Source organism: Homo sapiens, chromosome 14 (genome assembly GCF_000001405.40).
Source record: "Homo sapiens chromosome 14, GRCh38.p14 Primary Assembly".
NCBI lineage: Eukaryota > Metazoa > Chordata > Mammalia > Primates > Hominidae > Homo > Homo sapiens.
The window spans coordinates 35,454,351-35,467,911 of NC_000014.9; positions in this window are offsets into that span (position 1 = coordinate 35,454,351).

Below are 13,561 nucleotides of genomic sequence, written 5' to 3' on the forward strand. Positions count from 1 at the left end.
CAAATTTACTGAATTCAGGTATTCTAAAAGGTTTTTGTGGAGTCTTTGGAGTTTTTTATGTATAGGATATTGTCATCTGCAAATAGAGATAATTTTACTTTTTCACTTCCGACTTGTATGCCTTTTATTTCTTTTTCTTATTTGATTGTTCTTGCTACTACTTCCAGTACAATGTTGAGTAGAAGTGGTGAGAGTGGGCATTCTTGCCTTGTACTGAATCTTAGTGGGAAAGCATTCAGTTTTTCCTCACTGACTATAATGTTAGCTGTGGGTTTTTCATAAATGGCCTTTATTATGTTGAGGAATTGTCCTCTATACCTAAAAGATCAAGAGTTTTTATCAAGAAAGGATGTTAGACTTTGCAAAATGCTTTTCTGTGTCAGTTGAGATGATCACATGGTTTTAATCTTATTTTTTTAATGTGGTGTATCACATTGATTTGCATAGGTTAAACCAGCCTTTCTTGCCAGGGATAAATCCTACTTGGTCACGATGTATAATCTTTTTGATATGTTGTTCGATTCAATTCAGTTTGCTAATATTTTGTTAAGGGTTTTTGAATCAATGTTCATCAGACTGGCCTATAATTTTCTTTATTTATAATGTCTTTGTCTGGCTTATAATGAAGGTAATGCTGACCTCATAAAATGTGTTTGAAAGTATTTCTTCTAGCTCTACTTTTGGAAGACTTTAAGACTTTTTTTTTTTTTTTTTTTTTTTTTTTGAGACGGAGTCTCACCTCAGCCACCCAGGCTGGAGGAGTGGTGCGATCTCAGCTCACTGCAACCGCCGTCTCCCAGGTTCAAGCGATTCTCCCGTCTCAGCTTCCCGAGTAGCTGGGATTACAGGCACCCGCCATCATGCCTGGCTAATTTTTGTATTTTAGTAGAGACGACGTTTCACCATGTTGGCCAGGCTGGTCTTGAACTCCTGACCTCAGGTGATCCACCCGCCTTGGCCTCCCAAAGTGCTAGGATTACAGGCGTGAGCCACCGCGCCTGGCCTTGGAAGACTTTAATAGGTATTGCTATTAATTATTCTCTGAATGTTTTGGTAGACTTCAGCTGTGAAACATCTGGTCCTGGGCTTTTCTTTGTTGGGACTTTTTTTTTTTTTTTTTTTTTTTTTTAGACAGGGTCTCGCTCTGCTACCCAGGCTGGAGTGCAGTGGTGCCATCATGGCTCATTGCAGCCTCGACTTCCCAGGCTCAAGCAATCCTCTAGCCTCAGCCTCCCGAGTAGCTAGGTCTACTATTAGGAACAAGCCACCACGCCTGGCTAATTTTTTGTTTTGTAGAGACAGGGTTCCACTATGTTGCCCGGGCTGGTCTCAAACTCCTGGGCTCAAAGAATCCTCCCACTTCAGCCTCCCAAAGTGTTGGGATTACAGGCATGAGCCACTGTGCCTGGCCTGTTGGGAGGTTTTTGATTACCTCTTAATTTGTCTTTATTTGTTATTGGTCTGTTCAGGCTTTCTATTTCCTCCTGACTCAATCTTGGTAGGTATTTCTTTTTTCCTAAGAATTTAACCAGTCCTCTAGGTTATACAATTTGTTGGCATATAATTGTTCATATATATATATATATTTTTGAGACAGGGTCTCATTCTGTTACCCAGGCTAGAGTGCAGTGGCATGATCACAGCCCCCTGCAGCCTCCACCTCCTGGGTTCAGGTGATCCTTCCACCTCAGCATCCCAAGTAGGTGGGACTACAGGTGCACACATGCCCGGCTAATTTTTTTTTTTTTAAATAATAGTGGAGATGGGGTTTTGCCATGTTGCCCAGGCTAGTCTCAAACTCCTGGGCTCAAGCAATCTGCCTGTCTCAGCCTCCCAAAGTGCTGGGATTACAGGCAGTGAGCCACTGTGCCCAGCCCATAATAGTCCTTCATGATCCTTTTTATTTCTGAAGCATCTGTTGTAATTTATTCACTTTCATTTTTGATTTTGTTCTCTTTGTTACACTAGCCAAGAGTTTGATTTTATTTTTGCAAAACCTCTTAGTTTTATTGATTCTTTACATCGTTTTTCTCTTCTCTATGTATTTGTCTGATTTTTATTATTTCCTTCCTTCTGCTAATTTTGAGTTTAGTTTGTTCTTTTTTTCATGCATTGAGGTGTCTTAAATTATTTATTTGTGATCTTTCTTCTTTATAAACTTCTCTCTTAGAACTGTGTTTGCTATATCACATAGGATTTGGTTTGTTGTGTTTCCCTTGTTGTTTGTCTCAAGACATTTTCAAATTTCCCTTTTGATATCTTCTTTGACCCATTGGTTGTTTATGAGCATGTTGTTTAATTTCCACATATTTATGAATTTTCCAAATTCCTCCTCTTATTGATTTCTAGTTTTATACCATTGTGGTCTGAAGCAGTACTAGATATGATTTCAATTTTCTTAAATTTGTTACCACTTGTTTTGTGGCCTAACATGTGGTCTATCCTGAAGAATATTCCATGTGCACTAGAGAAAAACGTGTATTCTGCTGCTGTTGGATGTAAAGTTCCATATATATCTGTTAGGTCCATTTGGTCAAAAGTGCAATTCAAGTCCAGTATTTCCTTATTAATTATCTGTCTGGTTGATCTATCCATTGTTGAAAGTGGATTATTTAAGTCTCTCTCTGTTGTGGTATTGCTATCTGTTTCTCCCTTCAAGTTAATTAGTAGTCACTTTATGTATTTAGGTGCTCTAAGGTTGGGTGCATATATATTTATAATGGTTATGTCCTCTCAATGAATTGACCCCTTCATCATTAAATTATTACTTTCTTTTTCTCTAACGACAGTTTTTTGTTTTTTGTTTTTTTTTTTTTTGAGACAGGGTCTTGCACTGTTACCCAGGAGTGCAGTGGTATGGTTGTAGTTCACGGAAGAGTCAAACTCCTGGGCTCAAGCGATCTTCCCACCTCAGTCTCTCGAGTAGCTATGACTGCAGGTGTGCATCACCATGCCTGGGTAATTTTTAAATTTTTTTGCAGAGACAAGGTCTTGCTATGTTGCCCAAACTGGTCTTGAACTTTTGGCCTCAAGTGATCTTCCCCCGCTAGACTTCCTAAAATCCTAGGATTACAGGTATAAGCCACTGACCCTGGCCCTTATGACAGTTTTTGACTTTTAGTCTATTTTATTAGATATAAGTATAGCCACCTCTGATCTCTTTTGGTTACTATTTGCATGGAATATCTTCTTCCATTCATTCACTTTCAGCCTGTGTGTCCTTAAAGCTTAAGTGAGCCTCTTGCAGGTAGCATATGATTGGATTTTCTTTTTAAAATTTATTCAACCACTCTGTCTTTTGATTGGAGAATTTAATCCATTTACATCCAAGGTTATTATTGATAGTCAAGGACTTATTATTGCCATTTTGTTTCTGTTTTCTGGTTGTTTTGTAGTACCTTCATTCCTTTCTTCCTATCTTGTCTACCTTTGTGGTTTGATAATTTTCTGTAATGCTAAGCTTTGATTCCTTTCTCTTTATCATTTGTAGGTCTGTTGTAGTTTTTGTTTTGTGGTTACCATGATGCTTACATCAAACATCTTACAGTTATAATCAATTATTTTAAGGTGATAATAACTTAACTGCCATTACATACAAAAGCTCTAGACTTTTACCCTCTCTACCCACAATTTATATTTTTGATGTCACAATTTACATCTTTTTATAATTTTTTTTTGAGACAAAGTCTCACTCTGTCACTCAGGTTGGAGTGCAGTGCCATGATCTTGGCTCACTGCAACCTCCGCCTCCTGGGTTCAAATGATTCTCCTGCCTCAGCCTCTCAAGTAGCTGGGATTACAGGTGTGTGCCACCATGCCCGGCTAATTTTTAAATTTTTTTTTAGTGGACACAGGGTTTCACCATATTGGCCAGGGTGGTCTAGAACTCCTGACCTCAAGCAATCTGCCCACCTTGGCCTCCCAAAGTGCTGGGATTACAGGTGTGAGCCACCACATCCAGCCTACATCTTTTTATATTGTGTATTTCTTAACAATGTATTGTACCATTAGTAATTTTTGACCATTTTGACTTTTAACCTTCATACTAGAGAAATGTATGATTTACACACAACCATTACAGTATTAAAGTATTCTGGATTTGACTATGTATTTACCTCTACCAGTGAGTTTTATACTTTCATATGTATTTATGATAGTAATTATCTTCCTTTCATTTCCACCTGAAGAACTTCCTTAGGCATTTCTTGTGGGGCAGGTCTAGTGGTGATAAATTCCTTCAGTTTTTGCTTATCTGGTAAAGACTTTATTTCTCTTTCATTTCTGAGGGACAGCTTTACTGGGTATAGTATTCTTGGTTGACCTTTTTTGTTTGTTTACTTTGTTTTGTTTTGTTTTGTTTTTCCTTTCAGCACTTTGACAATATCATCTCATTCTCTTCTGGCCTGCCATTCCTGGATCCTTGTTGCTGGTGCACCAGCCTCACAGAGCCTGGGCTACTACCAGGTTCTACCACCGCAGGGTTCAGAGTCACCACTGCATGGTAACTCACCTCCAGAGCCTGAACTGCTGCCATGCCCTGTTCATTCTCAGTCCCAAATTGCAGCTGTGCCCTTCTCCCTGGGCCTGAGCCTCTGGAACACCCCTTCTTTCCCAGAGTCATGCTGGTGCTATACCCTGTCCCCCAGGGTCAGAACCATAGCAACATTCTAGCCCCCTGGGCCTGAGTGGCTGGGGTATGCCTCAGAGCAACAGACCCTGGTTGAGTGGGAGAACTGCATGCATTTGGGCCTTGGAAAGTGAACCTGTGCCTCAAGTCTCAGGTGCTACAGTAGTTTCACAAGACCCTGGCTTGGGGGTGGTGCACTACTGGGTAGGTATGTTAAAGTGGCAGCAAAGCCTCAGGGATGGAGGGGGTGCAATGGTTACCTACACCCAGAACAGGATACATTATAGCAGTGGTTCCCATTCCAAGATGGTGCAGATTAATGGCAGCATGGGCCACATGGGGCCAAGGCGCAGCATTGGCTCCTTCTCTGGGAGTAGCTCAGTGTGTGAACTCCAGGGAGCTCCCTCAGCTGGGCTTGATCCTGTGAAGACTGCTGGAGACTCCAGTAGTGAAGACTGCAGGTGTTTGCAGTGGTGATGGGGGCTGCTAGAGTCCTCTTGCTTACCTTTACCCCTGCAAGAAGAAGTCTCTTCTGGTACCAAGATGATTCTGACTAGGGGTGTGGGGTGGAAGACCCAAGGTATTCCCTTCCCTATGGTGCTATCTTGGATTTCTGTGCTCTACAGGTTTTCTGCTGCTTTTTGCTGTTGCCATTGTTCTCTGGAGCTCTCCTTGAGTTATTTTGGTCAATATGTATGTAGTTGTTTATTCATTGTTTTGGATTTTGTTGTGGTAGGGAGACCAATAGGAACTTCTAGTTGGCCATCTTGCTGATGGCACTTTCCTCATAAATTATTTTTTTAAAGTGATGCACTGCCACACCTCTTCTCACACATCGCTTCTCTGTGAGTCCTCATCATCATGAACTCAGCTCTTCATATGAGGTGGGGTTGGGGACAGCGAGAGGGGAGAATGATGAAGGGAGTTGGATAAACTTCCTGAACTGGGCAACCTTTGTGCTATGGTCTGCTGTCACTCTGCATTTGCTCACTTGCATTTTCTGATGATAACTCTGACTGGCTTAGAAATGTCAGAGGCAGCTGTGGTTGAATCAAACTAAATAGTGAGGCCTCTCTCAGTGGACTGTTTTTCTTGCTTTCCTCTAGGGAGACACACTTTAGATGTGCCTGAATTGCGTTTTTTGGCAGATTGTTACAGTAGAATATTGACTCTCTGATCTGAAGCCAGGCTTGTCCCAAAGACTGTCTGCTTTTCTAAGAGCTAATAATGAGAATTGATCAATGGCTGTGGTGGGGAGAGGAGGTGAAGGGAGGAAGAAGAAAAAACCCTGATCACTGTTCAGAGAACACTAGATTCTGAAGCTGTTTGGCAGTTTATTTCTACTATTTTGCCTGATTTTTTTCTAATCAGAAATAAGGCAAGTTTTTAGTGGACATGGTACAACTGAATTAAGACAAAGCAAAGCAAGCAAAGTAAATCTAAATGCTGTTCTTTCCTTTCTGTGAATTTCCCTATTCTTTAGTTCTTATAATCACCATATCCACATTGGTCAAGTGATTACAACTAACCCTATAGGGAATTACATCATTTTTCAATATAATGGAATTTCATTATTGCAATAGGAAGCCTGGGAAGAAGGAAGATTGGGTCCCAATTCATCCCCTGGGGAAAGCAAGATAAATACCTAGGCTTCTGATTAATTATTATTCCCCACCCCAAAACAAAGAGCCAAAGGAAATCCATATGCAGAAAAGAGGACAGGTGAAGATGCAAAGACATAATGATTTCTTTTTTAAATTGAAACTTCCTTTCTTTGATAAGTGTTCTCCTTCCTGTGAGAGTTTGGTCAGTTTTGCTTTATTTTAAAGCAGTGCTTCCCTACTGCCTGTCCAATGCAAGCCTGTTTGTTAAAGGTAACTCATCCCATCTGTCCTGCTGCTCACCCCCAAATTCTGATAGGGCTCTTTAAAGTGGCATGCCCTTGTTGGGAAGCACTGCATCTTTTATGTATCACCACTACCTAAAATAATTTTCTTGAGCTTTACTTTCTTTACATTATGTGAACAATATGTTGCTTTCTCCCAGATATAAAATTATAATATTGTTGATCAAGTGCTTTTTCAAATTACACATGCTTCTCTTCTTTGCTAGCCCTCCACATCCTAAGATGATGATAAGCCCGCCAGTATACTTCTTAGAGGAAAATACTGTCTTGAAGAAACTTTTTTTTTTTTTAGTTTGTATGTGTGTGTATGGTTTATAGACAAAGTTTCTGTTTTTATATTCTTTCTTGGAGTCTATGCCACACATACATACATATACAATACTTAAAACTTATTGGGCACTTTATATCTGTGTACATGGAATGATTTAATTTAATTCAAATTAAATAATTGAATATTTAATTAAGTGTATTTAATCTAATACACACAACCATCCTAGGAGGTAGGTATTATTATTGTCCCCATTTTAAGATGAAGAAACAGGCACTCAGAAATAAGCTCACTTACCCAATGTCACATAATTAGTAAGCGGTAGAGTCAGGACATAAACCCAGAGAGACTGACCCTAGAGCCCATGCTTTTGACCTCTCTACTATCTTGTGTGGTCTACAACTAGGGAAAAACCCATTGTGCAGACACTAATAATTTAGATCAAATAAAATAGCATAAATAACATTAAAAGAAAATTTTCTTTCTGACCAAATATTTCAAGCTTAAGTTGTTGGCTAATACATTTCAAGCATTATTAATTAAACACATTCCTGGTACAGAAAACATAATAAAATGGTTGGAAGTCTTTCAGAACTTCTTGAAGTGGAATTTGGTTATATGAATTATACTGTAACTTTTTTTTTTTTTTTGAGACAGAGTGAGTTTGGCCCTGCCACCCAGGCTGGAGTGCAGTGGTACGATCTCAGCTCACTGCAACCTCTGACTCCCAGGTTCAAGCAATTCTCCTGCCTCAGCCTCCCAAGTAGCTGGGACTGCAGGCTCATGCCACCACACCCAGCTAACTTTTTGTATTTTAGTAAAGACGGGGTTTCACTGTGTTGCCCAGGCTGGTCTTGAACTCCTGACCTCATGATCCACCCACCTTGGCCTCCCAAAGTGCTAGGATTACAGGCATGAGCTACCATGCCCAGCCTGTAACAATATTTTTGTCTTGCTCTGTCAGCCAGATTGGAGTGCAGTGGCACCATCAGATCTCACTGCAGCCTCAAACTCCTGGGCACAAGTGATCCTTCTGCCTTAGCCTCCCAAGTAGCTAGAACTATAAGCACGTGTCTGGCTAATTTAAAAAAAAATTTTGTAGAGATATCTTCTTGCTATGTTGCCCAGGCTGATCTCAAACTCCTGGCCTCAAGTGATCCTCCCATTTCAGCCTCCCAAAGGATTACAGGCTGGATTACCGGCATGAGCCACCATGCCAGGGCTCATATAAAATTTTATTGAAGATGTGATTATAGTAAAATTACCTGTACTTTTTTTTTTTTAAATTTAAGAGACTAAACTGTTCAGCATTATGGTATTCACTCTAATGGGATTTTTTTCTTTTCTTTCTTTTCCTTCCTTCCTTCCTTCCTTCCTTCCTTCCTCCCTTCCTCCCTCCCCTTCCCCTCCCCTCCCCTCCCTTCCCTTCCCTCCCTTCTTTCTTTCTTTCTTTGAGACTGAGTCTCACTCTGTTGCCCAGGCTGGAGTGCGGTGGCGTGATCTCCACTCGCTGCAACCTCCACCTCCTGGGTTCAAGCAATTCTCCTGTCTCAGCCTCGCAAGTAGCTGGGACTACTGGTGCATGCCACCATGCCCGGCTAATTTTTGTATTTTTCATAGAGACAGGGTTTCACCATATTGGTCAGGTTGGACTTGAACTCCTGACCTTAGGTGATCCACCCACCTCAGCCTCCCAAAGTGATGGGATTACAAGCATAAGCCACTGTGCCTGGCTCTAATGGGATTTTAAAATACCCAATTACTTAAGCCTAGAAACCTTAAAATTTTGAAGTGAACAATTATTTTGGATTTAAACATTGAGTCAGTAAAATTTTATAAATAAATGTTTAAAATAATGATTCAGATTTCATTATAGTTGAATGGTAGAAAGGATCACAGAGACCATGTGTGCATGTGACTGAAGATTAGAGGGTTCACAATAAGAATTACCCTCTCATATCTGGCCCCATCTGCCTGGTTCCCACCCTGCACCTTAATCACTGTTACCAGTTTTCTCTGAATCTGTCCAGAGTTTTCACATATACAAATAGGTATGAATGTATATTCCCCTCCCGTCTTTTTACATAAAAGATAACATTATTTTACACTGAAAAAAACAGGCTGGGTGCGATGGGCTCATGCCTGTAATCCCAGCACTTGGGGAGGCCGAGGCGGGTGGATCACGAGGTCAGGAGATCGAGACCATCCTGGCTAACATGGTGAAACCCCGTCTCTCCTAAAAACACAAAAAAAATTAGCTGGGCATGGTGGCACGCATCTGTAGTCCCAGCTACTCAGGAGAATCGCTTGAACACGGGAGGCCGAGGTTGCAGTGATCCAAGATCGCGCCACTGCACTCCAGCCTGGGAGACAGAGCGAAATTCCATCTCAAAAAAACAAAAACAAAAACAAAAACAAACTTTATATATTCTGAAGATTTTTTTCATATCAGTATATAGAGCTTTCTTATTGTTTTTGTATTTTATTGAAGATCTGCAAAATATCCCATTTAATAAATGTAGCATAATGTATTTAGTTAATTTATTATTAATGGACATTTAGATTGTTTTCCAGTCTTTTACTAATACATTGTTTCAGTGGATAATAACCTACACGAGTATATCTATAGGATAAATTCCCAGAAGTGGATTTACTTAGTCAAAGGACTTACACATTTATAGTTTGGATAGATTTTGCAAATTGCCCTCCATAAGTGTTTTACTAATTTATTCTTCCACCAGCAATGTAGGAGAGTGCCTGTTTCCCCACAGCTTTGCCAACAGTGTGCATTTTCAAACCTAATAGCTGAGAAATAATTATGTCAGTGTAGTTCTGATTTGCAATTCTCTTATTAGGAGTGAGGCTAGGTATCCTTTTCCATGTCCAAAAAATGTTTTTATTTTCTGTGAGCTGTTCCCACTTTTAGCTCATTTTACTGTTGAATTGGGTTGATAGTCTTTTTCCTATTTCTACTTACAGGTGCTCCTTCTAGATAGGGGAGATTTGCCTTTTGTCTGTGTAAAGAATTATAAGCATTTCCCTCCAATTTATAATTGTCTTTCAATATCACATACAGTATTTTTTGCCATGTAGAATTAAAAAATATTTTTATGTAGTTAAATTTATCAATATTTTCTTTAGTGACTTCTGGATTTCAATTCATAGTAAAAAGGGGCCTTCCCTACTCCAAGGTTATAAAGGAATTCTCCTTTCTTTATTAGTAGTTTTGTCTCTTTTAAAGTTTTATTTTATTTATAATTGACACATAACTGTACATATTTATGGGGTACAGTGTGATGTTTCAATGCATGTATACATTGTATAATAATCAAATCAGGGTAATTTGCATATCCATTACTTTAAACATTTGTCATTTCTTTGTGATGATAACATTCAAATACCTCTTCTTCTTTCAGTAGTTTTGTAGTTCTTTTTTTCCTTTCCTTCCTTCTTTCCTTCTTTCTCTTTTCTCTCTCTCTCTCTGTCTCTCCCCTATTTGGGATATTCCTAGTGTATGGTATGGATAATATTTTAGGAAATCAGCTTGTTTCTATGCATGTGTTTTCTTTTTATACTTCCCCCATTTAAAGTAAATAGCTGGTTCAGGGTCTCTATAGAACAGAAGGCAGAGATATTATGCAAGACTTTCTGGTTTCTGTTTCCAAAAACTTAAGCCCCTGGGAAGATTTAGAGAGTTTGTAGAAAAGAAAAAAGGGAGAAGGAGATTTTCAGGTATAGGTAGAGTGCCCTAGGGAAGTAGGGCAAGGAGGTGGGGTTGGTAGAAAGTGAGGCTTTCCCCCACTACTTCTCTCCAACACACACATACACACACACACACACACAGATACATACCCCCACCCCAACACCACGTCAAAAATATCCCCCCCAATAGGAGGAAAACAAGAGACAAGTCTGTAAGTTCTTGATATGGTTTGGATTTGTGTCCCTGCCCACATCTCATGTCAAATTGTAATTCCCAGTGTTGGAGGAGGGGCCTGCTGGGAGGTGATTGGATCATGGGGGCAGATTTCCCCTTGCTGTTCTCATGATAGTGAGTGAATTTTCATGAGATCTGGTCGTTTAAAAATGTGTGGCACCTCCCCCACCTCCTTCCTGCTTCTTTGGCCATGTAAGACATGCCTGCTTCCCCTTCGTCTTCTGTTGTGATAGTAAGTTTCCTGAGGCCTCCTCCTAGCCATGCTTCCTGTACAGCCTGTGGAACTGTGAGTCAATTAAACCTCTTCTTTTTTTTTTTTTGAGATGGAGTCTCACTCTGTCACCCAGGCTGGAGTGCAGTGGAATGGTCTCAGCTCACTGCAACCTCTGCCTCCTGGGTTCAAGTGATTCTCCTGCCTCAGCCTCCAGAGTAGCTGGGATTATAGACATGTGCCACCATGCCAGGCTATTTTTTGTATTTTTAGTAGAGATGGGGTTTCACCATGTTGGCCAAGTTGATCTCAAATTCCTGGCCTCAGTTGATCTGCCTGCCTCAGACTCCCAAAGTGCTAAGATTACAGGTATAAGCCACCATTCCCAGCCAATTCTTTTCTTTATAAGTTACCCAGTCTCAGGTAGTTCTTCATAGCAATGCGAGAACAGGCTAACACAATTCTAGAGCATCAATGTCCCAGTTTTGGCTTCTTGGCAGCACCTAGAGAGGAGTAGGATCTGTTGCCTCCAGGCATATGGGATTTAGTCAGTTGCAAAAAAAGATTCCCAAGTCCAAAATATGTTGATGAAGTAGAAGGAACTACTGATGCTGAAGGTGCTGTTTAGACAAGACAATGGAAGACTCAGGGATAACCTATGTACAGAAGTGATTGATTGCTAGAACCGGCACACCCCAATTTGCCCCATGTCAAAATGCAAAAGATATAAGAATCTTAACCTAACTCAGAAGAGATGGGTGAAGGGCTTTAAAAACTAACCTTTTTTTTTTTCCACTAGCCCAGGAGAATAGGGGAAATTCATTTTTACATAAAGTGATATTCTTATTTACCTGACCATACTCACTACATATTGTCTTAGTCTGTTCTGGCTGTTATAACAAAAATACCATAAACTAGCTGGCTTATAAACAACCCATTTATTTCCCACAGTTCTGGAGGCTGAGAAGTCCAAGATCAAGGCACCAGCAGATTTGGTGTCTGGTGTAACTGCCAAGTGAGTTCATTGTGTCTTGCTGCTCATATAATCAAGGCAGGGGAATTGCAATAGAGAAAGAGTTTAATACATGTAGAACCAGCTAAACAGGAGACCAGAGTTTTATTATTACTCAAATCAGCCTCCCTGAAAATTCAGAGGCTAGGGTTTTTCAAGGATAGTTTGGGAGGCAGGGGACGAGGGAATGGGTGCTGCTGATTGGATTGAGATCACTCATAGGGGTATGGAAAACAGTCCTCACGTGCTGAGTCCACCCCAGGTAGGGGCCACAGCAAAGTTGCTGGTCCAGGTGGAGTCATCTGGTAGTCAGAAATGCAAAACTCTGAGAAGACATTGAAAAGGCCAGTCTTAGGTTTTACAATTGTGATGTTATTTACAGCAGCAAATGGGGAAGTTGCAAATCTTCCTGAAAATGCTATACCTCCAGAAAAATGGCTGGTAATCATTGAACTATCACTACATCTTAGCAGAATTTAGGCCCCTCTCATCCTCTGTACTTGGTGGCTTAGCACTAGTTTTACAAAGGTGGTTTAGTTTGGGGAGGGGCTATTATCACTTAAACTATAAACTAAATTTCTGCCAGCATTAGCTTGGCCCATGCCTAGGAATGAATGACCAAGGGCAGTTTAGAGGTTAAAGGCAAGATGGAGTTGGTTAGGTCAGATCTCTTTCACTGTCATCATTTTCTCACTGCTATAATTTTTGCAAAGCCGGTTTCACTGGTGGGGGTCTGCTTTCTGGTTTATAGGTGGTACCTTCTAGCTATGCCCTCACATAGTAGAAGGGAAGAACTCTTGTTTCTGTAACCCCTTATAAGAGCACTAATCCCATTCATGAGGACTCTGTCCTCATGAGCTAATTATCTCCCAAAGGCCCCACCTCCTAATACCATCACCTTGGGGGTAGGAGTTCAACATATGAATTTTGGCAGGCCACAAACATTCAAACCTTAGCATATATAGTATGGTCTATAATTTAGGTATGTACTGTTTGTGATTAAACTACTACCTTATTACTCACTAAAGCTGCCAACACTTAAAGTAAAAGATTAGAGAATTCCACTTTTGAGACGTCATGAACTTAGTTCCAGCTTTGTGGGACCTCATATACCAATGTGTCCTTGAATGTTACTGGGCCACAGGTTTGTATTTGTTTTTTATTTTTGGCAGGGGGAGGTGGGTGGTGAAGGAAAGATCAGGTGTACAGAACTGAATTAATCAGAATCATCACTTCTTGGCACACAACTATGATTCTGTGTAACGTTGCTCTCCTGTTTGATTTTGTTATTTTTCCCTTCATTCTCTGTCTCATTCCCATTCTCTTCAAAGGTATCCAATCTAGAGGCTTTTCCCATGCTCACCCATAAAGCCTTGGAACAGCCCAACTGTCACTTAAAAAACTATCTGCTGTTGACTAATATAGATGTTTGTGAAACAAGAAACAGGAGTATAACAAGCAAGTTACAAAAGAGTGTAACGGGAGTTAGATAATTTTCTGGTGGACTTTCTTTGCCTATAAAAATGAAGTTAGTAATAACATGCTTTATATCTAACATAATAATATATAATAAAGAAAGAAATTATTTTGCACCAGGCAC